The 24611-nt window shown below is 40.2% G+C and overlaps 1 long non-coding RNA gene across 2 annotated transcripts in view, besides 1 other annotated feature; it reads right to left on the minus strand.

Moving 5' to 3' along the window:
* Positions 1–24611, minus strand: part of MIR100HG (mir-100-let-7a-2-mir-125b-1 cluster host gene) — a 394543-nt gene that overhangs the window by 330430 nt on the left and 39502 nt on the right. The window contains exon 1 of one of the 2 annotated variants that reach the window (NR_137192.1): positions 8738–9230. The exons of the other annotated variant lie outside the window; for it this stretch is intronic. This is a non-coding gene — a long non-coding RNA (mir-100-let-7a-2-mir-125b-1 cluster host gene). Of the gene's footprint in view, positions 1–8737; positions 9231–24611 lie in introns of those variants that run through there. 2 annotated transcript variants of the gene reach the window in all.
* Positions 14840–15374: an enhancer, noted in NCBI's record as "OCT4-NANOG hESC enhancer chr11:122244306-122244840 (GRCh37/hg19 assembly coordinates)". NCBI's record gives its function as "activates a minimal SCP1, AML or CMV promoter by ChIP-STARR-seq in naive H9 embryonic stem cells {active_cell/tissue: H9 hESC(naive)}" and the evidence as "EXISTENCE:reporter gene assay evidence [ECO:0000049][PMID:30033119]".

Raw genomic sequence — 24611 nt, forward strand, 5'->3', positions numbered from 1 at the left:
TAATCTACATCCTTCCTCGTGTGAGTTTATTGCCAGATTTTCTTAGTCATTTTCACAGGATAAAATTAAGTGGACATTTAAGTACAACCAGACCATGAAAGGGCTAACTTGATATGTTCTAGGCATAGAGGGTAGGGAGGTTTATGTTAAGGTGGTTCGATTTAATATCTCACATGTCACTCATTGTAAAGGCAGTCGCAGGGACTGACCCACGAATGTCCTGTTGTTGAAAATCCCATAATGAAGAAGAGAATATGACTTCACCAGTCTCCTTCCTGCCCCTAGAAGGGTTTCCATCATTTCATTAAAAGAGAAAAAACCCACCACGTACTGCTCAATATGGTGACTGGCTCCTGAACAGTCAAGATGTTATTTTCAAACACATTCTTTCCTTGCTTTTCCATCCCCATGGGGCCCTGCTCTAATTCCTGGCCTTCTGAAACCCCGTGGCTGCAGCTTCCATCTTACTGAGCAGATTTTCAAACAAAGTCCCCTTGCTGTGTGCACAGAACTGCCCTCCAGAGCTGCAGGCACGCCGGTCGGGGGGCTCAATGCTGAATTTATTTCCTACATCTTGGACACGTCGTCGCTCTCTCTCCTCCCTCCCTCCCTCCCTCCAGTCCCCTCTCCCCGCCTCCCCTTCATCCTAAATCCTGCAGCCATGACAGAAATAAATTAGCTAGAGGTACAGGTCACACCTTGGAGAGCAGTAAACGTTCCGTGGGAAATCAATAGAGAAGATGGGATTCTCAAACAGCTGAAGCAGAAGGAATGATGCATTGATGGCTATACATAAACCAAACAAAGGAGTCTCAGCACAGCCTTCCCGGAAGGGACTCGCGCACTGGGCTTCATTTATTCTAACACCTGAACCTGAGACAGCACCGCAGAAAAAGACGCTCCGCAGATACCTGGGCTTTTTTCCTCAGGAAGGCTCAATGTTGCTGGGCGAGTGTTGGTGAAAATGAAAAATTATGTTCAGATCGTGGATGTTAAAGCCAGAGCCCCCAGGAAACCCCTGGAGAACCGTAAGCTGAGTGTGTGAGACACACATCTGTTCCAGGAAGACCTCCTCATCCACGGCTGCTGACAGCAAAAGCCAGAGAGGGATTGGCTGGATAGTTACCTGAAGAGGTGTAATTCCTAAAGTCATTTAGTGTGATGTGTCGGAAACGCCTAGGCTTTAGGCTCTGGCAGACCTGGGTTCCAGTCCTGGCTTCACCACTAGGTAGCAAAAATGGGAAAGCTGCATTTATAAAGTGGCAATAGGAGGTCTACCTTAGAGGCAATTGTGCGGATTAAATGAATAACACACATAAACACCTAGTACAAAATAGGCACTCAATAAATGCTAGTTGCTTTCCCTTCCATCCCCCTGCCTGATAGTAAGCGGCTTCGTCATGTCTCTGGAGTTCTACAACTTCTCCCCACAGAGTTTTCACAATGGCAGGCCCTCATAAAATTTTTCTCTGATGGCAAAAGCAATGTCTAGCAAAAACAGGTGCTCAGCAGGACTTTCGGTGCCCTACAGTCTCGATCAGCTGCCAAATGCCACCCCAAATAAGCCACCTAAGTTAAAGCAGTGTGCCTGCTATGCAAATGCAGGGATGGAATACAATCCTGCCCCTGAGCACCTCCTATCTAGAAATCCTGAAATTTCCATTGCTATATACCAAGAGCCGATTTTTCTCCTGTCTTCCCTTGCTCTTTTTTTTCTCCTGAAAACTGCATTTTTAATATCTTTTCCTCCTCAGTTTGAGCCTGATTTCTTCCTCACACACAGCTGAATTTCAGTAATAAAACAAATAGTTACAGTGAGAAGCCATTATAAATTATCTAGAAAATAAACATTTAAATAATCTCCATCCTAAAATGTTTAATTGTGGCAAAATGTAGAGAGCATGAAGTTGACCAGCTTCACCATTTTTACGTGTATGCTCAGTGACATTAAGTACATTCATATTGTTGTGTTAACATCACCGTTATCCATCTCCAGAACGTTTTCACCTTCCTCATGTACAGCGCTGTACGTGCTAATCATAACTCCCCATTCACCCCTTTTCACAGCCCCTGGAACCCGCCATTCTACTTTCTGTTGCTATAATTTTACTACTCTAGGAACCTCCTGTAAGTGGAATCATATGATATTTGTCCTTTTAGTCCTGTCTTATTTCACTTACCGTAATGACCTCAAGTTTCTTCCATGTCGTAGCATGTGTCAGGATTCCTTCCTTTTTAACACCGAATAATTTTCCATTGTATGGATATACCACATTTTGTTTATCCATACCTCCTTTGATGGGCACTTGGGTTGTCTCCACCTTGTGGCTATTGTGAACAATGCTGTTATGAATATGGGTGTGCAACTATCCCTTCAAGACCCTGCTTTCAGTTCCCTGGGGATATACCCAGGAGTGGAAGTGCTCGGTCAAATGGTAATTTTATTTGTTAATTTTTGAGGAGCCATCATACTGTTCTCTATAGCAGCTGCACCATTTTACATTCCCACCAACAGTGCACGAAGGTTCCAACTTCTCCACATCCTTGTCAGCACTTGTTATTTTCTGTTTTTTTTGAAAGTAACCATTCTGACATCTTTTCACGGTTCGTATCTTCTCTGGGAAAATGGGGGCTGTATATGTGTGGCAACCATTTGTTTGGTAGCCTGACTTGTTCATTCCTCCTTGCATACAGGAAATTCTTAACGTCAACCAGATTCTGCTCTGGCTATAGCTTCTGTCTAATGTCTCTGTCTTTTCCAAGTCTTCTATCTTTCATTAATTCAGGAAATGTAAAGTTAAGTTGAACAATTCAAGAGTTTTCAGTACTCTGATATAAAGCAGTTTGCCTAGCCCAGTTACTCATGCTACCCTCAATCTCAGTAAATGAAGGAGAAAGCCTTTTGGTTTTGTTTTGTCATCTAGGCTGGAGTGCAGTGGTACAATCTCAGCTCACTGCAATCTCTGCCTCCCGCTTCTCCTGCCTCAGCCACCGGAGTAGCTGGGACTACAGGCGGGCACCACCACACCTGGCTAATTTTTGTATTTTTAGTAGAGATGGGGTTTTGCCATGTTGGCCAGGCTCGTCTCAAACTCCTGACCTCAGGTGATCTGCTTGCCTCTGCCTCCCAAGGTTCTGGGATTACAGGCGTGAGCCACTGCACCCGGACAGGAAAGCCTTTTCAGAACAGAAAAGGTAAAAGCACTAGAACCTACTAGAAAACACTGAGATAGCTTGGAGAATAAAAGTAACAGCTCTCATATAGCAGGCTAAATTTTAAAACATCGTTTAATTTTTTTTACTTCATTAATTTTATTTTATTGTATGTGAGAACACTTAACATGAGGTCTACCCTCTTAACAAATTTTTCATGTACAATACAGTATTGTTGACTATAGGTACAATGTTGAATAGCAGATCTGAGCATCTCACCTGAGAAAATTCCCATTGACAATTTCAGATGTGGGAACTGAGGCACAGTGAAGTGAAATCATTTATCCAAAGTCAGACAGCAAGTAAATTCCAGGGTCAGGACCCAAAACCCAGTCATATCACTCCAAATCCCTTTTTTTTTTCACCATACAATACGACCTAAAGATTACTAAGCTCTTTACTTTTGAAACTGCCAAACTTTTAAGGACCTATTTGTAAAAGACAAACAAAAAAGAAATGTGGTTTGAGCTTGCTGTTGAAGAGGAATGGTTCCCTAAAGGCAGGCAGTACATAGACTTCACCAAGCACTAACTTCATGGGACGTGACTTGCTCAACTCTGGACAATACATGTTAATGGACCCAGAATGAGGCAAGACATAGGCATCACCCATGAAAGGAATGTAGTCTATTGGACAACAGCAGTCCTTTCCACTTAGAATGTTTCTTGAAGGCCTTGTGTGACACATGACATCCTATGCTCAGCTGGTGAATCATGTGACTCCTCTTTGCCCGGGGGGAAACCTATCTCCTATGGGGATAGGTTTCCTCCTCTTTAAACTTTCCAGGGGTATTGTGAACTTTAAATATAATATTGATAAAGCATGAAACCTAGCATCAGGTGTGTAATAGATGCTCAATAAACCAAAACCCATTGCCATCTCGCTGCTGTATCCCCAGAGTAGCTTTTCATTCCCAGCAGGGACAAGTGGGTAAAGACCATGAAGAGGCATCTGAAAGAGAACTCTGAACTGAGTGGTAAAGAATTTAAGAATTTTAGGCCAAGCAAGGTGACTCACACCTGTAATCCCAGCACTTTTAGAGGCCGAGGCAGGCAGATCACCTGAGGTCAGGAGTTTGAGACCAGCCTGGCCAACATGGCGAAACCCCGTCTCTACCAAAATTACAAAAATCAGCCAGGTATGGTGGCGCATGCCTGTGGTCCCAGCTCCTTGGGAGGCTGAGGCAGGAGAATCGCTCAAACCCAGGAGGCAGAGGTCGCAGTGAGCCGAGATCACACTACTGCATTCCAGCCTGGGTGACAGAGCAAGACATCTTCTCAAAAAAAAAAAAAAAAAAAAAAAAAAAAAAAAAAAAAAAAAAAAATTAAGAATAGACACTTAGAATATTTAACCATCAACTGCTGTCCCTGAAGTTTGCCTCACATTTCTGCACCAACAGACTTGTTTTACTGGTCTGCATTTGAGTGCTCTGTGCACTTCTGTGTACCATTTATTCATTTAGACTGCACATGCTCTGAGGGAGTGGCCCCTCCTTCCATTTGGTCTTACAGCCCTGTGACTGTGCACTTACAGTTCCCGGTTCTCTACAGAGAACAGTCCATTACGGATCACTGATTTGCTCAGAAGCAGGCCCTTGAGATTCATCTCTCTAAAGGGATTTCTCTAACGTAATGATATGTGTAAGCCAGGAACTTCGGAGCCCAGACAGTGCACCTCAAGAGCCTGGTCAGCACTGGTCAGAAGACCCCCCATAAAACCCGAAATCTTGACATTTCCAAAACCTGTCTGCATATGTGCCTTTACTTCTTTTTTTCTTTTTTCTTTTTTTTTTTTTTTTGAGACGCAGTCTCGCTCTGTCGCCCAGGCTGGAGTGCAGTGGCGTGATCTCGGCTCACTGCAAGCTCCGCCTCCCAGGTTCACGCCATTCTGCTGCCTCAGCCTCCTGAGTAGCTGGGACTACAGGTGCCCGCCACCATGCCCAGGTAATTTTTTGTATTTTTAGTAGAGACGGGGTTTCACCGTGTTAGCCAGGATGGTCTCGATCTCCTGACCTCGTGATCCGCCCACCTCAGCCTCCCAAAGTGCTGGGATTACAGGCGTGAGCCACGGCGCCCGGCCTTTACTTCTTTTTTGACTCCCACTGAACCTTTGAGACTGTAATTGACTCCCTTCCCTTCAGAGAGACTCCTCACTTCCGAGCAGCCTGCTTAGCCGCATTGGAAAGTTATGGAAGATAACTAGATTTGACTCAACAAATGTGCACTTATCTCAGACATATCTGCCTGGATAGCCTCCCTCTGGTCTCTCCGTGGACTAAGAGCAAGAAGAATAAGCGTTCTGCCTCAGTTAACTCTCTGTGCCATCTAGCACATTTTTGTATTTTCAATAAATATGCCTTAAGCACTATTCCTCTTGTGGTGTTAATTTACCAACACAAGTGCCCTGAGGATCTGTGGGTTGAGCTAAGAGCTGACTGGGATTCACAGTAAGAATAGTTCATGCTTACCTTGGGTGATACAACACAAGCAACAAATAAGAGCATATGCCAATCAAAACATTTTCGGGTTTAGTCTGCTGTGTGAGGCACCGTGCTAAGTACTTTACATGAATCCTTTCATATAATCCTCATAGCAACCCCTTGGTATCCCCATTCTACACATGATGAAAAAGAGATGCAGAGAAATTAGCAAAGCCCATGTGTATAGTCACCATACCATAGAACACACACTTTGGGATTCTACGGATAGGATTTAAATTCAAGTCTCCAACTCCTTGAGTGTGACTAACATACCATCTCCAGCTGGAGTTTTCTCCTTCGTAGTGTGACAATATCCAAAGTCCCTGGTGCTGCCACACTTTCCACCTTCATGAATCATGGAACTCCTCTTTTATATCCTATCTACCTCAGTAACCCAGGGATTCAGGATGGTCTAGAATTTCAAATCCCCAGTTGGGCAACCTGAATTCCCATGTAGCCTCTATCCTGACCTTAGGCAGCAAGTCATTCAATCTTTCGGTTTCCTCATTTGTCAAAAGAAAATGACAACACTGGCCCAATTTATTTTAACAGGTAGTGTTGAAGATAAGATCAAAGGAAATATGTCAAAGTCTTCTGAAAAGCTTCAAATACTTCTCAAATTATTACAGTAATGGATTCAGTTGGAGAACTTACTGCACAGAATGTCTTTGTCCAAAATCTTAAAATGAATGGGGAAACTGAGTTCAAGGTGCAGAAGTGGAACCCAGATTATTTCTATTCTTGTATAAGCAGAGGCTTGGACTGGAGCTCCAGGTATCTGTATGCTTGCTCCAGCCTAGGCGCTGCTTGGGGCAAATCACTGCACTTCACTACAAAATATGGATGTGATACCTACCTTCTCCCGAATCCTATGGGTAGGGTCTGAGCAGGAGACAAAAACACTCAGAAAACTTGAGACGAGAAAAACTCTAGAAAGTCAATTATATGCATTTTTTAATATGGTGTCAGATTTTTTTTCTCCCACTCATTTTCCCTTGTCTCAATCTAAATTTTATCCAGATGTGAACATGAAGAGGCCTGTCTTTGTTCATTCTCTGCTTCTTTGGTTTTCCTTTGTGCCTCAAAAGGTTTTGGTGCTATGCTTCAAGACACAGGTCATGAAGGGGAAACAGTTGGGGTGCTGTGGGGAGACTGCAGTATTAGGAACGAGGACTGAGGGTAAAGAGTTACAGCATGCTCCAGAATGTGCACCTCCTCTTTGCCAACGCAGAGACAAGGTGATGAAAAGATCCCTGGCTCCAGACAAATGCCCTCAGCCTTGCAAAGCCTTCCAAGAGGCAGCGTCCCAGAGTCCAGACTGCAAGTGACTTGCATGCGCACACACACACACACACACACACACACGCTCACACACACTCTTCCATGGAAAACTGTGCTCTCGCATCCCAGAAAAGGTTTGTTGTTTCAATTAAACCTCATCAATGCCACATGTCAGAGAAGAAAGAAAAAAACAAAACAAGACTCAATTACTTCAGCTATCTCCTTAGGGATTGATCTGTATCGAATAAACCACCATCTACACATGGGGAGAAGCTTTTACTTATGAAAAACAGAGGCAGGTGCAGAAGAGCAGCATTTGGTACTAAATCAAAGCTCTGGGAGCAGAAGGAAGTGGATTTAGACGCATCCACTTAGCTCCTCCTGATATCTAACTTGCAGGGTGGGGAACAGATCACAGCCTTGGCTGGGTCTGGCCTCTGCTTCCTGGTCCCCGCTGAGGTCCCGTCCCACTTTGCTCACTGCTTCAGCTGCCCGGTAAGAACAGATGGACAGAAGTTAAAAGAGCAAGGTCAGCTCATTGGCTAAGTCTCATTTCACACCCTGCCCCACCTCTATCATCCCTTTCTGGGACATAAAGATGAAGAAAGCAGGGCAGGGGTGTTGCTGCATTTGATTCTGGCTGAAACTATGGTCGTTTCATTTACATCCCCTGAATAGCTGGCGAGTCTGATTTACACATTGATAATATGTGATGCTTTGTATTCCAGCAAATATTTAATCCCTGACGGATCAATAATCCTCGCCTGGCTGTTCTTTTTTGAAAAGAAATAAATCCCCTTTTACTCTTAAAATTCTTGAATAAAATTAAAGTGCTTTAGCCTAGGATGCACTGCTCCTACACGAAGCCATGTGGTTTCATAACCTCAGTCCTCAGATGTTTTTAAAGGGGCCACCTTTGCTAACTTGATATTTTCTGAGATCCTAACATCTCTCCAATGAGTCCTCTGTGTTATCAGTTGATATTATAAGACAGCCCTTTAAGGCCTGGTATACTTTTTTAAAATTAAAAAGTAAAATTATTAACCTAAACTGAATCAGTATGTACATAGCATGCAGTATTTTTTTGCATTTTTTGCTTATATTCACCATGGCAGTCTTGATTTAAATTCTTTATTACAAACCTTTCTATAAACCATTTCCCTCCAAAACTACATTTTTAAGAAAACTCTATTCCTACACAGATTCTTAAAAAGCTATACTCCCGTCTTAGAGTTAAATTTGAATATTTTGAAAAATGCACATTAAACGTGGAAAGAGATGGCTCTCCTCTCTATAAGGGGCTCCCAAGGCAGCCTCAAAGCTCACCAAAAGTTCCAAAACAACATCCACAACAAAACAAACTCTCTTTCATCTCTGGCAGCAACAAAAGCAATAACTTTCACCAAACCTACCCAAGCCAAGAATTAATATAACACAGAACAACACATCCACATTCAGACCATTACGGCTACATCAGCTCACCACAATATTTGTTTAAAAAACACATAATTTGTGGTAGAGAGAAAGAACCTTTCATACAAAAAGAAGTTCTTTCAAATGCAAATTAACCAAAAGACATATTTTCCCTGTGTTTGGGAAATCACTCCAATACATGAAAAACATAGTTTTTGTGTGGAAAAAAAAAATCAGTGTACACCCACTAATTGAAAAGGCAATTACATTAGCTGTAGATTACCTTAACAGTTAAGAAAAGTTAACTCCTGGCTCCATAAGTCTTTAAGAACTTTATTAGCATTTACTGACCTAAGTAGTCTTCAGTTCCCAGGTAGCAAAGTTTCTTTTCTTCTCCACTGAAATGCTCATATGGACACTGAAGGACATTGTATTACTGAACTGATCGGAAAAGAATACTGTTTCCATTCTTCTGGAGGAAAAAAAAAATGGAAAGAAAGAAAAGAAAGATGGAAGGAAGGAAGGAAAGAAAGAAGAAAAAAAGAAAGAAGGAAAGAGAAAGAGGAAAGAAAGAAAAGAAAGGAAAGAAAGAAAGAGAGAGAGAGAGAGAAAGAAAAAGAAAGAAAGAAAGAAAGAAAGAAAGAAAGAAAGAAAGAAAGAAAGAAAGAAAGAAAGAAAGAAAGAAAGAGAGAGAAAGGGAGAAGGAAAAGCAAGGCAAAATGCAGTCTAATCGAGTATTCTTCCTGGTGGGGAAAAAAAAGTAAATCCACTATCCTGGAACGAGTTCAAACATAGCTTGACAGGCTCCAGGAGAATTTACACTGAGCATGCTTAGCCCCGCACTGCTTGCATGAGACACTCTTAATGAATATTACTTCCTTCCCACTGGCTATTCCTGCTGGAAGTCCACACCCACCCCTCTTTCAGAAGTCAGGAATTTAGCTTCAGCCAAAGTCCAGAAAACATGCTTATGCGGAGACAAGGCCTCACCGATCCATAAACTTTCAGGTTGTGACCTGCCGGTCAGTTTGACAAATAGAACATAGGGGTGAATTTTTTTTCTGCCCTTGGTTATGTTGCCAGCTTTATGCCTGTCCTAAACTGCAGTTCCTCTGGAGAAAAGAAAAACAGACAGCTTTCTTTCTGAAGAACATGACGTCCTCAACACCACAGTAAAGACCTTTCCTGATCAAGCTTCCAAACTGAAATCAGAATAAGGGTCATCTGCATATTAAAACACAACACTCGATGATTTTTAGCTTCTGGATAAAACAAAAGTCCTACCCCAAATGTATGCTTTTTGATAACTTACATAACACCTCTCTCAAAAATGCTGCATGCCAAAGCACTCTCTGAAAATATGTTCAAAATCCAGCTTTAACCTGCTATGTTGTCTAAACATTGGACTTGTATACATTTAGGTCACACTAAAAACTGACTTTCTTTTTCAAACAATGCTTTCTCTTTCCCTAAATCCCTCTGTCATGTTTAATGACAGGAGACCTGAAATTCTGAAAATTTAAAAATAGATTACTTTTCTGACAGTCTGAGAAGGCAAGATTCTTGCTCTGCCAAAAAATCAGGGGAGTGGGGAAAGGGGAGGATAAGCAGGTGAGGGCCTGATATAGACCGCATAGTAAAAGAAGGGCATTTTAGATTTTAAAATTAATAATAAGGTACTTTTTTGTTGTCCATTTGATATTTCTAGGGTGCCATTTATATGTATCAAATTACAAGTTATAAATATTATTAAATACTCATTTGAACTGTAATGCTTATTTGCCTAGACACACACACATACATGCACACACAAAAACACACACCCCAATTTGTGGTTTGAAAAAAATGATGTCACAAAGCATCAAAAGGCAATAGAAATTTTCTAAGTCTCCAAGAAATATGGCGTGCCCAGTGTCTAATACAAAGCCTGCCTGGCCAGCATTGATTCTTTGGATTAATAAAGGATGCATCTATGAACCTGATACGTAAATCCGTTGCCTCTCCATGCCTGTAACACTTTACGCAGCCCACTGCTGAGCTGCCATGATATGTTCTCCCTATGGAAGATCTTTGTAGCATAAAATACGTCTTTGCCCACTATTCAATAAATAAAATCTCCGCAGACATATTTTCCTTGTGGTAACTATGAGCTTTTTGGAGACTTTAGGCATGGTGGTTGTTTTGTTTGTTTTTATGCTTTGCCTAAGGGAAGAATAAAATGTAGCCCCCTGCCCCAAGTGTGCTTATTTATATTACAAGAGCAAACTAAGTTTTCAGCAGTTAGACGAAGCCCAAGAGAAATCAGGCTTTGAAAGGCTAAGTAATCCTCGTGACCACACATAAGGTAAGTATAAAATAGGAAGGACATTTATTCATTTGACTCAAAGAGATTGCCTAGAGACAAGGTCCCGCAACACAGAGTACAGGGACCCTTCTCTGTAGACAGCTTACCTCCCTGCCATCGGGGTGCAGTTTCTTTTGTCTCCTTCCATGAGGATGACTCTCTCCCCTGAAGCTAAGGGGAGACACAGAAGCCTGTGTAGGAAACACAGGAGCCTGAGTAGAACCATGCTGTTTCCAGCTTGAATGTTAAAACCACTCTGTGTAAAGCTGAGATAGTCTTTACAGTGCCATCACACTCATTAATTCAATTAGCAAATATTCATTGAGCCCCTACACTGACATTCATTTGGGTGCTGGAAATTGGGACGTGACTAAGACAATGTTCCTGCACTCAGGGAGTTTACATTCTGGCAATTAGATGTTTAATGGAAAACATTAGATGTTTAATGGAAAAAATTCAAGATGTAGGCTGGGTGCGGTGGCTCACGCCTGTAATCCCAGCAATTTGGGAGGCCGAGGCGGGTGGATCACCTGAGGTTGGGAGTTCAAGACCAGCCTGACCAACATTGAGAAACCCCGTCTCTACTAAAAATACAAAATTAGCTGGGCGTGGTGGTGTATGCCTGTAATCCCAGCTACTCGGGAGGCTGAGGCAGGAGAATCACTTGAACCCATGAGGCGGAGGTTGTAGTGAGCCGAGATTGCGCCATTGCACTCCAGCCTGGGCAATAAGAGCAAAACTCTGTTTCAAAAAAAAATTCAAGATGTAAATAGTAAATACATTTACAAACTGTGATAAGTCTAAGAAAGAACTAAAAGGGAAATGATGAGAAAGAAACAAGCCATGTGTGTTGGGGGCTGAGGGACAGAGCATCAGGAAAATGGAATAAATATTTGGGAAAATCATTAGTAACCAATCCAATATAAGTTAAAATGAAAAAAATATGTGGCATGGCTGGATTAAAGCCTTGAATGCAACACTAATGCATTTGGATTTCATATGGTATATAATGGGAAGCTATTGAGGGCTTCTGAGAAGAATTATTTTACTAATTTGACTATGACTATTCTTTATAGCAGTTTGTAGGATACACTGGGGATGAGCATGAAAAGACCAAAGCTTTTGGAAGAGCCAAGATTGGCAGAGGTGAGGAGAACACCTAATCTAGGACAATGCAAATACTGATGGAGGAGAGAAGACAGCAATGAGAGGTATTATTACTTATTTATTTATTTATTTATTTATTTATTTATTTTATTTATTTTTTTGAGATGGAGTCTTGCTCTGTCACCCAGGCTGGAGTGCAGTGGTGCCATCTCAGCTCACTGCAACCTCTGCCTCCTGGGTTCAAGCAATTCTCCTGCCTCAGCCTCCCAAGTAGCTGGGATTACAGGTGCCCACCACCATGCTCAGCTAATTTCTGTCTTTTTAGTAAAGACAGGGTCCCACCATGTTGGCCAGGCTGGTCTTAAACTCCTAACCTCAGGTGACGCACAGGCCTCGGCCTTCCAAATTGCTAGGATTACAGGTGTGAGCCACCGTACCAGGCCGAGAGATATTATTGAGGCAGAATGACAGGCTTTGACAACTAACTGGATGTGCAGATTAGGGTGAGAAGGCATTTAAGGGGAAGGCTAAGATTTCTGGTCTCAGTAGCTCTCAGTAGATCAGGAGCTCAGACATCTCTTCACTTACTTTATACCTGAACTCATGCAGCCGAAGATAGCTGGACCAAAATGTACAAGCACGTCAACTGTTCTCACATTACACTCTTGCTCACTAAACCTCACATGGGTTCTTAAGCAGATGGTGAGAATGGAGAATGATGGTCTCTTAAGCAGAAATGGAGAAATCTAGGGAAAGAAATATCTGGCACATGGTGAACTCAAATATTTACTGGATGTATGGAATATGGAGTTGAGGGTTAGGGGGATATCCATCCTACACTATTATTTTACTTGGGAATTTTATTTAGCTGTTAATAGGGACCTGATAATAGTCAAACACCTAAGGGTATATTTTTCTCTCATTTAAAAAAAAAAATCTGTGATTGAGAGTTCAAAACATGACTACCTGGGACCCAAATCCTTCTATCTTTTTGGTTTCCCATTCTTAATGCAAGGTGTCCAGCTTCAGTTTTACGTTATGGTTCATTGTGGACTATGCCTAATTTTGAGTAAATGCACAAACGTAACAGTCAACTCTAGAAAATGGTTTGGTAGCCAAGGAACCAGGGGCTCAGACACCTCTTATATAAGAATCTGGGTCATACCACCAGATAAGCTACCTAGATAAGCAGAGGTGCTAGCCAAGAAAGAGGAGAATCTAGAATGGATAGTACATTGAGGTGGTACAAATGAGGAGTATCAATGGCAGCCTCTAGACCGGTCATAGAGGCAGGATTAGTCCCACTAACCTTCCTCATGTAATAAGACTTTCTAGGAAAAGAAACTTATCAGAATGCGGGAGGAGGTCTTCTTAGAAGGAGTAAGCTTAGTACACAAGCAAGCAGTGCAAATGGCGAACTGTAGCAGATTCTGTGGTGTGCCATCTATTACCTTCCCTTCAGGACTAAGGCACTTACTACCGCACCTACTAGGAGTGTTAATTTCTGTCATCTCACAGCCAAGTCCCTCTTGAGGAATCACCCTCACTTCTTGGGAGCCTCTGTGACCACAGGAATTCCATGTCTAAGTGTCAAAAAGGGGCACAAATGCCAAGCCTCCTTACTCCAATTTGGGACAAATCAGAGGGTTGTTCCAGCTCCACAGCTCCCTGTAGGATTGCCTGAGACCTGTTACAACTGCACTTCTGTTTAACCCCTCCTCTGCTCATTCTTCCTGCCCTCCATCCCTTATAGATGTTGCTTCTGAAAACACTCCTCAGTAAACTCCTGCATACAAATCTCGATCTCACAGTATGTTGTCTGGAAACCCAATATAATCCAGCAAAATAAAAACCCTGGATAAATTCAACTCTTCACTTACTCCATGCCTGAATTCATGCAGCTGAAGATAGCTGGAGAAAAATACACAAGCATGTCAACTGTTCTCACATTATACTCATGCTCACTAAACTTCACAAGAGTTCACCCCAGAAATCATCCTTTCTTTCCCTAATCTATTTTTTCTTCACTCTCCAGAACAAGTATTTCAAATTTTCTCTTCTAATTTCCAACACTTGTTCCTCACCATCATTCTCAGTAGTCAATCTTGCTTTCCACTATGATGAGAAAAATGAAGCAATTATAAGAGAATTTTCAAAAACCTCAACCTAAAATCTACACACCTGCCAGAATCAGAGTGAATATACTTCACCTCCCCTTCTATTACTATGGATGAACTGTCCATCCTCCCGCAGAGCAAATCCCTCCACCTGTGCACTACATCTTCATTCTCCTTCCTACTTCAAAACATTGCTCCACGAAGTCTTCTCTCATTCTTGTTTTATCAAACTTCCCTTTTTTATTAGATTGATTGCAACATCATAAAATACACTGGTATTTCTCTCATCTTAAAAACAATAACCTTTCTTTAATCCAGATTTCCTCTTCAACTAATGATGTATTATTATCGCTTTCTTATAGCACTCTTGAAAGCATTCTCTACTAGATCTTTCTAATATGTCTTCCCATTCTTTCTTCTTTTAAAAAATGTTTCATGAGATATAATTTTCATACCATAAAATTATATAAAATTCAAACTTTTAGCATGCACAAAGTTGTGTAAGCATTAGCAAAATCTAAGTTTAGAATATTTTTATTACCCCCAAAAAACCTGCCAATTAGCAATAATTTCCTATTTATCTACATCCTCTATCCCCAGGCCCAGGAAATCAGAAATATACTTTCTATTTCTATAAATTTTTCCTATTCTGGTCTTTTCATATAAATGAAAAGCATACAATATGTGGTCATTTGTGACTGGCTCCTTTTACTTAGCATAGTGTTTTCAAGGCTCACCACTGTAGCATGTATCAGTTTTCTTTCATTTAAATTCTCAAATAATATTCCATTATAAGAATATACCACATTTTATTTATGTATGCATCAGTTGATGGGCATTTAGATTATCTTCCCTTGTTAGCTCTTATAAATAATACTGCCCCGAACATTCACTTACAAGTTTTTGTGTGGATGCATGTTTTTATTTCTCTTGAGTGTATACTAGGAATGAAATTTTTGGGTCATACGGTAACTCTGTGTTTAACTTTTTCAGGAACTGTCAGATCATTTTCTAAGTTGTTGAACCATTTTACATTCCTTCAAGAAGTGCATGAGGGTCCCAATGTCTTCATGTCCTTCTCAACTCATGTTATCACCTACAGTGTTTATCACAGCCATCCTGGGTGGGTATGAAGTGGTAGCTCATTGTGATTTTGATGTTTCCTTTGTGTTCCATTATGTTGGACATTTATCTTTTCATGTGCTCCCATTCTTTCTTAAACACATTCCAATTAAGCTTTTTTCTCCATCACTACACTGAAATGATTCTTCACAAGGCTACCAACAGCCACCTTGTTACATTCTAAGACCATTTCTCAGTCCTTATTTTTCTTTACCTATCAGTAGTTTCTGACACGGGTAAAAATTCTCTCAATAAAACACTGTATTCTTGGCTTCCAGAACACCACATTGTCTTTGTTTTCCTCCTTCACTTCTGGTTGCACCTGTTTAGCTCCTTTTCCTGTTTGTTTGTTTGTTTGTTTGTTTGTTTGTTTTCTCATCTCTCTCACTTCCAAATGTTAGATTTCTCCAAGACTCACTTCTAGAATATATTCTTTCTTACTATCTACACTCATTCCCTATACAATCTCATCTAGGATCTACATAACTTCTCCTAGAATCATGACTTTAAGTGCCATCTATATGGTTATGATGACTCTCAATATTATATCCTCAACCTGGATCCCTCCACATATTCGAAACTAACTATTTAACATCACTTGGATGTCTAAGAGGCAAAATTAAACATGCCCCAAACTGAGCTCCTACTGTTTTTCCCAAACTAGTTCCTTTCCTTTCTCAATTTCTGGCAACTTAAAATTTGAAGCTAAGACAGAAGTAGAACAAGATGGCAGAATAGAAGCTGGACTGATCATTCTTCGAACAGAGTACCAATTCAACAACTATCTACACACACAAAATAAAAACACCTTCATAAGACTCAAAAATGATGTGAGCACTCATAGTACCTGGTTTTAACTTCATATCACTGAAAGAGGCACTGAAAAGGTAGGAAAAACAGTCTTCAATAGCCGACCCACCCGTCCTCCATCTCCTGGTAGGGGTGGCATGGTGTGGACAGTGTTTCTGTGCACTGGGGAGAGGCAGAACTCAGTGACTGTGAGGCATTGAACTCAGTGCTGCCCTGTTATAGCAGAAAGATAAACAAAACCAAGCTCAGCTGATGCTTGACCAAAGAGGGATCATTTCCCCAAGGAAGAGGGGAATTACAGATTCCAGCAGTTGGAACTTAAGAGTTCCTGCAAGGCTTGCCATCATGAGTTAAAGTTTTCTGGAGCCCTAAAAAACCTTGAAAGCCAGTCTAGGCCACAAGTTTTGCAATGCCTAGGTGAGTCCTAGTGCTGAGCTGAGCTAAGAGGCAGAGAACTGCAGGGGCAGTGACCTACTGAGACACCAGCCAGGGCAACTAAGGAAATGTTGGCATCACCCTTCCCCTAACCCTAGGCTGCACAGCTAGTAGCTCCAAAAGAAATTCCTTCCTTCTGCATGAGGAGAAAATATGGAAGAGTGGGGAGGACTTTGCCTTCCATCTTGGATACCAACTGAGCTACAGGAGGATAGAGCATCAGTCAGAGTTTTGAGCTCCCCATTCTAGTCCTTAGCTCCAAGACAACATCTCTAGACATACTCTGGCCCAGAAGGGAACCTGCTGCCTTGAAGAAAAGGATTCAGTCCTAGCAGCATTCATTACCTGCTAACTGAAGAGCCCTTGGGCCCTGAATAACCAGCAGTGACACCCAGGTACTACACTGAGGGCCTTGGGTGAGACTCAGTTTTGCTGGCTTCAGCTGAGACTCAGCACATCCCCAACTCTGGTGACTATGGGGTGAGACTTCTGCTTGAGAAAAGTGGAGGGAAGAGTAAAGAGGGCTTTGCCTTGCACCTTATGTACCAGCTTGGCCACAGCAGGTAGAGCACCAAATAGGCTCTTGGGGTCCCTAGTTCCAAGCCTTGGCTTTTGGATGGCATTTCTGGACCTTCCCTGGGCCAGAGGGGAGCCCACTGCCCTGAAGGGTGAATCCCAGGCCAGGAAGCATTCACCATAAGCTCACTGAAGAGCCCTTGGGCCTTAAGGGAACCTCAGCAGTAGTCTGGCAGTAGTCCCTATGGGCCTGTGGTGGTGGTGGCCATGGTGTGAGGCTGCTCTGCCTTTGGAAAGAAGAAGGAAGAGTGACAAGGACTGAGACTTGTGGTTTGAGTGCCAGCTCAGCCACAGTACAATAGAACACCAGGTAGACTGTTAAGATTTTTGACTCTAGTCCCTGGCTCCCAAGTGGCACCTCAGGCCTGCCCAGGACCTGGGAGACCTCACTGGCCGGAAGAGAAGAACACAGGCTTGGCTGGCTTTGCTACCTGCTAGTCGCAGAGACCAGGGCATTGAGCAGACATAACCAGTAGCCAGGGAGTGGTTACAGCAGGCCTTGAGTGAGACCCAGTGATGTGCTGGCATTGGGTCTGACTCATCACAGTACTAGTGGTGGTAACCACAGGGTGCTTGTGTCACTCTACCCCTAGCTCCACGTGGCTCAAAAAAGACAGAGAGACTCCATTTGCTTGGGAGAGAGTAAGAGAAGAGAGCAAGAGTCTGTACCAGGTAATCTAGAGAAATCACCTGGACCTCGTCCAAGACCATCAAGGCAGTACCTCTATGAGTCTATAAAAGCCACAGTGTTACTGAGCTTTGGGTGTTCCCTAAAGCACATACAGCTTAGATCATGATACCCGACTCCATGTGAATATCTGGAAAGCCTTCCCAAGAAGGACGGGTACAAACAAACTCAGACTGCCAAGACTACACTAAACATGTAACTCTTCAATGACCAGATACAGATGAACATCTACAGGTACTAAGATGATCCAGAAAAACGTGACCTCATCAAATGAACTAAATAAGGTACCAGGGACCAATCCTGGAGAAACAAAGATATATGATTTTTCAGACAGAGAATTCAAAAGAGCTGTCTTGAGGAAACTCAAATAAATTCAAGATAATACAGAGAAAAATTTCAGAATTCTGTCAGATAAACGTAATAAAGATACTGAAATAATTTTAAAGGACTGAGCAGAAATTCTGGACCTGAAAAATTCAATTGGCCTACTGAAGAATACATCAGAGTCTTTGAATAGCAGAACTGATCAAGGAGAGGAAAAAATTAGTGAGCTTGGAACAGGCTACTTGAAAATAGGCAGACAGAGAAGACAAAAGAAAAAAAGAATAAAAAACAATGAAGCATGCCTCCGGGATCTAGAAAATAACCTCATCAGGGCAAATATAAGAGATATTGGCCTTACAGGGAAGGTAGAGAAAGAGATAGGGGTAGAAAGTTTATTCAAAGGGATAATACCAAGGAACTTCCCAAACTTAGAGGAAGGTAACAGCATTCAAGTACAAGAAGGTTATAGAAAACCAAGTAGACTTAACACAAAGACTACCTGAAAGCATTTAATAATCAAACTCCCAAAGGATAAAGAAACTATCCTAAGAGCAGCAAGAGAAAAACAAACAACATGGCAATGGAGCTCCAATGCATGTGGCAGCAGACTTTTCAGTGGGAACCTTATAGGCCAGGAGGCAGTGCATGACATTTTTGAAGTGCTGAAATGCTGAAGGAGGCGGGGGGGGGGGGAGGGAAAGAAGAAAAAAAATCACTTTTACCCTAGAATAGTATATCTGGAAAAAAATATATCCTTCAAACATGAAGGAGAAATAAAGACTTCCAGACAAACAAAACATGATGAATCAACACCAGATCTGCCCTGCAAGAAATACTAAATCAATCAGAAAGAAAAAGACATTAATGAGCAATAAGACATCATCTGAAGGCATAAAACTCCCTGGTAATAGTAAGTATACAAAAAAACACAGGATATTATAACACTGTAACTGTGATATGTAAACTATTCTTAAGTAGAAAGGCTAATCAATAAATCAATCAAAAATAATAATTACAGATCATCATGGCAGACAGAAGGCAGGACTAGATTGCAGCCCCGATTTGGACAGACAGAGCAGAGTGCAGAGGCTCACATGATGAATTTTAGCTCCAGAACAACTGCAAGAACAAACCAGGAATCCCGAGAGGACCCACAGACTCTCTGAAGGAAGCAGACTGCTCCTGCAGGACCCGGGAGACACCCCAAATACTGTGAGTGCCCAAACTGTGGAGCTGGGAAGGGAGACCCTCCACTCCTGAACACACACCACCACTGGGGAAAATGAAGGTCTAGTTTGCAGGAGAAGTTTCTGACCTTACCTGGGGCTGAGTCAATTTAGAGAGCCAAGCAAAATATAGGGGTAGAGGAAGCAGCAAGAAAGGCCCTGGGAGCTCACTGGGTCCCCAAGCAGGCCATTCCTGCCTGGCACCACAGGGGCCCTTCGGGACAGTGGCCAGAGGCATGGGGTAAAACGCCACAGGAGGAACATAATCTTCATCAAAATACCACCATCATTCTTCACAGAATTAGAAAAAAAAAATTGTAAAATTCATATGGAACCAATAAAGAGCCCACATAGCCAAAGCAAGACTAAACACAAAGAACAAATCCGGAGGCATCACACTACCTGACTTCAAACTATGTTATAAAGCCATAGTCACCAAAACAGCATGGTACTGGTATAAAAATAGGCACATAGAATGGAACAGAATAGATAACCTGGAAATAAACCCAAATACTTACAGCCAACTGATCTTTGACAAAGCAAACAAAAACATAAAGTGGGGAAAGGACACCCTTTTCAACAAATAGTGCTGGGATAATTGGGTAGCCACATGTAGGAGAATGAAACTGTATTCTCATATCTCACCTTATGCAAAAATCAACTCAAGATGGATTATGGACTTAAATCTAAGACTTGGAACTATAAAAATTCTAGAAGATAACATTGGAAAACCCCTTCTAGACACTGGCTTAGGCAAGGATTTCATGACCAAGAACCCAAAAGCAAATGCAATGAAAACAAAGATAAATAATTGGGACTTAAACAAAAGAGCTTTTGCACAGCAAAAGGAACAGTCAGCAGAGGAAACAGACAACCCACAGAGTGGGAGAAAATGTTCACAATCTATACATCTGACAAAGGACTAATATCTAGAATCTACAATGAAGTCAAACAAATCAGTAAAAAAAAAAAAAATCAGAAAGTGGGCTGAGGACATAAATGTCTAGACAATTATCAAAAGAAAATATACAAATGGCCAACAAACATATGAAAAATGATCAGCATCACTAACGATCAGGGAAATGCAAATCAAAACCACAGTGTGATACCACCTTACTCTTGCAAGAATGGCCATAATCAAAAAATCAAAAAACACTGGATGTTGACATGGATGCGGTGATCAAGCAACACTTCTATCTACATTGCCGGTGGGAATGTAAACTAGTACAGCCACTATGGAAAACAGTGTGGAGATTCCTCAAAGAACTAAAAGTAGAATTACCATTTGATCCAGCAATCCCACTACTGGGTATCTACCCAGAGGAAAAGAAGTCATTATACAAAAAAGAACTTGTACACACATGTTTATAGCAGCACAATTCATAATTGCAAAATCATGGAACCAACCCAAATGCCCATAAATCAACAAGTAAAGAAACTGTGGTATATACATAAATACAATGTAACACTACTCAGCCATAAAAAGGAATGAATTAATGACATTTGCAGTTACCTGGGTGAGACTGGAGACTATTATTCTAAGTGAAATAATTCAGGAATGGAAAACCAAACATCGTATGTTCTCACTGATATGTGGGAGATAAGCTACAAGGACACAAAGACATAAGAATGACACAATGGACTTTGGGGACTTGGGGGGAAGTGTGGGAAAAAGGTGAGGAATAAAAGACTACAAATAGGGTGCAGTGTTTACTGCTCAGATGATGGGTGCACCACAATCTCACAAATCACCATTAAAGAACTTACTCATATAACCAAACACCACCTGTACCCCAATAACCTGTGGAAAATATAAATAAAATAAATAAAATAAAAAATAAAAATATATAAAAGTAACATCAAAGATGATTAAATAATAATAACTACAACAACTTTTCAAGACATAGTACAATAAAGTATAAATAGAAACAACAAAAAATTACAAAGTTAGGGGAACAAAGTTAAGGCATAGAGTTTTTATTAACTTTCTTTTTGCTTATTTGTTTATGGAGAAACTGTTAAGTTGTTATCAGCTTAAAATAAGGAGCTATAAAATAGTATTTGCAAGCCTCATGGTAATCTCAAACCAAAATCATGTAACACATACACAAAAAAATTAAAAAGCAAGAAACTAAATCATATCACCAGAGAAAATCACCTTCAGTAAAAGAAAGAAACAAAAGAAGGAAGAGAAATCTATAAAACAACCAGAAAACAAATAACGAACTGGAAAAAGTAAGTCTTTACTTATGAATAATAATATTGAATGTAAACGGACCAAACTTTCCAATCAAGACAGAATAGCTGAATGGATTCAAAAAACAAGACCCAATGATTTGTTGCCTACAAGAAATACACTTCACCTATAAAAACACTCATATACTAAAAATAAATTAATAAAGAAAAGGACATTTCATGCCAATGGAAACCAATAAAGAGGAAGAGTAGCAACACTTACCTCAGACAAAATAGATTTTAAGACAAAAACTACAAAAGACAAAGAAGGTCACTGTATAATGATAAAGGGGTCAATTCAGCAAGAGTTTATAGCAATTATAAATATATGTGCACCCAACACTGGAGCACCCAGATATATAAAACAAATATCATTAGACCTAAAGAAAAAGAGACTGCAATACAATAATAGCTAGAGACTTCAACACTCCACCTTCAGCATTGGACAGATCTTCCAGACAGAAAAATCAACAAATAAACACTGGATTTAATCTACACTATAGACCAAATAGATCTATTAATAATATATATTTACGGAAAATTTCATCCAATGGCTGCAGAATGCACATTCTTCTGCTCAGCACATGAATCATTCTCAAGGATAGATTATATGTGAGGTCATGAAACAAGTCTTAAAACATTCAAGAAATGGAAATAATATCAAGCATCTTCTCTGACCACAATGGAGTAAAACTAGAAATCAGTAACAAGAAGAATTTTGGAAACTAAACAAACACATGGAAATTAAATAATATGCTCCTGAATGAAAAGTGGGTCAATGAAGAAATTAAAAAGGAAATTGAAAAATATTTTGAAACAGATGATAAATGAAACAAAACATACTAAAACCTATGGGATACAGCAAAAATGGTCCTAAGAGACAAGTTTATAGCTATAAGTGCCTACATCAAAAAAGAAGCAAAATTAATGATACATCTTAAATAACTAAAAAAAAAAATCAAACCAAACCCAAAATTAGTAGAAGAAAATAAAAAACAAAGATCAGAGCAGAAACAAATACAATTGAAATAAAGAAAACAATACAAAAGATTAGTGAAGCAAAAAGTTGTTTTTTTGAAAAGTTATACAAAATTGACAAACAGCCAGACTAAGAAAAAAATAGAGAAAACCCAAATATACAAAATTAGAAATAAACATTACAACTGATACCACAGAAATTCAAAGACTCATTAGTGGCTACTATGAGCAACTATAAGCCAATAAATTGGAAAATCTGGGAGAAAGGGATGAATTCCTATACATATACAATCTACCAGGATTAACTATAAAAAAATCCAAAACCTGAACCGACCAATAACAAGTAATGAGGTCAAAGCTGTAACAAAAAGTCTCCCAGTAGAGAAAAGCCTGGGACCCAATGGCTTCACTACCAAACATTTAAAGAAGAACTAATACCAATTCTACTCAAACTGTTCTGAAAAAGAGAGGAGGGAGTATTTCCAAACTCATTCTATGAGGCCAGTAATACCCTGATACCAAAACCAGACAAAGACACATCAAATAAAGAAAACTACAGGCCAACACTTCTGATAAATATTGATGCAAAAATCCTCAACAAAATACTAGCAAATTGAATTCAATAACACATTACAAAGACCATTCATCATGACCAAGTGAGATGTATACCAGGGATGCAAGGATGGCTCAACATATGCAAGTAAATCAATTTGATACATCATATTAAGAGAATGAAGAAGAAAAGTCATGAGATCATTTCAACTGATGCTGAAAAAACATTTGATGAAATTCAACATCCCTTCATGATAAAAGCCCTCAAAAAACTGGGTATAGAAGGAACACACTTCAACATAACAAAAGCCATATGAGACAGACCCACAGCTAGTATCATACTGAATGGAGAAAAACTGAAAGCCTTTCCTCTAAGATCAGAAACATGACAAAGATGCCCACTTTCACCACTGTTTATTCAACATAGTACTGGAAGGCCTAGCTAGAGCAACCGAACAAGAGAAAGAATGAAAAGGCATCCAAATTGGAAAGGAAGAAATTAATTTATTCTTGTTTGTGGATGACATGATCTTACATTTGGAAAAAGCTAAAGACTCCACCAAAAAACTATTTGAACTAATAAAAAAAATTAGTAAAGTTGCAGGATACCAAGTCAACATACAAAAATTCATAGCATTTGTATACCCAAACAGTGAACAATCTGAACAACAAATTTAAAAAGTAATCCCATTCATAGTAGCCACAAGTAAAATTAAATACCTATGAATTAACTTAACCAAACAAGTGAAAAATCTCTACAATCAAAACTATTAAACACTGATGAAAGAAATGGAAGAGGGCACCAAAACATGGAAAGATTCTATGTTCATGGATTGGAAGAAACAATATTGTTAAAATACTCATACTGCCCAAGGCAATCTACAGATTCAATACAATCCCTATCAAAATACCAATGACACTCTTCACAGAAATAGAAAAAACAACCCTAAAATTTCTATGGAACTACAAAAGGCCCAGAATAGCCAAAGATATCCTAAGCAAAAAAAAAAAAAAAAAAAAAAAGAAGAAATAACATTGCATGAGTTCAAATTATACTACAGAGCTATAGTAATTAAAACAGCATGATACTGGCATAAAAACAAACACATAGACCAATGAAACAGAATAGAGAACCCAGAAATAAATCCCCACACCTACAGTGAACTCATTTACAACAAAGGTGCCAAGAACATACACTGAAGGAAAGATAGTCTCTTCAATAAATGATGCTGGGAAAACTGGATATCTATATGCAGAAGAATGAAACTAGATCCCTATCTCTCACCATATACAAAATTCAAATCAAAATGGATTTAAGACCTAAATCTAAGACCTTAAACTATGAAACTACAGAAAGAAAATACTGAGAAAACTCTACAGGACATTGGACTGAGCAAAGATTTCTTGAGTAACACCCACAAGCATGGGCAACCAAATCAAAAATGGACAAATGGGATCAAGTTAAAAACCTTCTTCACAGCAAAGGAAACAATCAGCAAAGTGAAGAGACAACCCCAGAATGGGAGAAAATAGTTGCAAACTACCCATCTGACAAGGGATTAATAACCAGAGCTCAAACAACTCTATTTTTAAAAATCCAATAATCCAATTTTTAAACGGGCAAGAGATTTATTTATTTATTTATTTATTTATTTTTGTGACAAGGTCTCCCTCTGACACCCAGGCCAGAGTGCAATGGTGCAATCATGAC

This window comes from Homo sapiens, chromosome 11 (assembly GCF_000001405.40).
Source record: "Homo sapiens chromosome 11, GRCh38.p14 Primary Assembly".
Classification (NCBI taxonomy): Eukaryota; Metazoa; Chordata; class Mammalia; order Primates; family Hominidae; genus Homo; species Homo sapiens.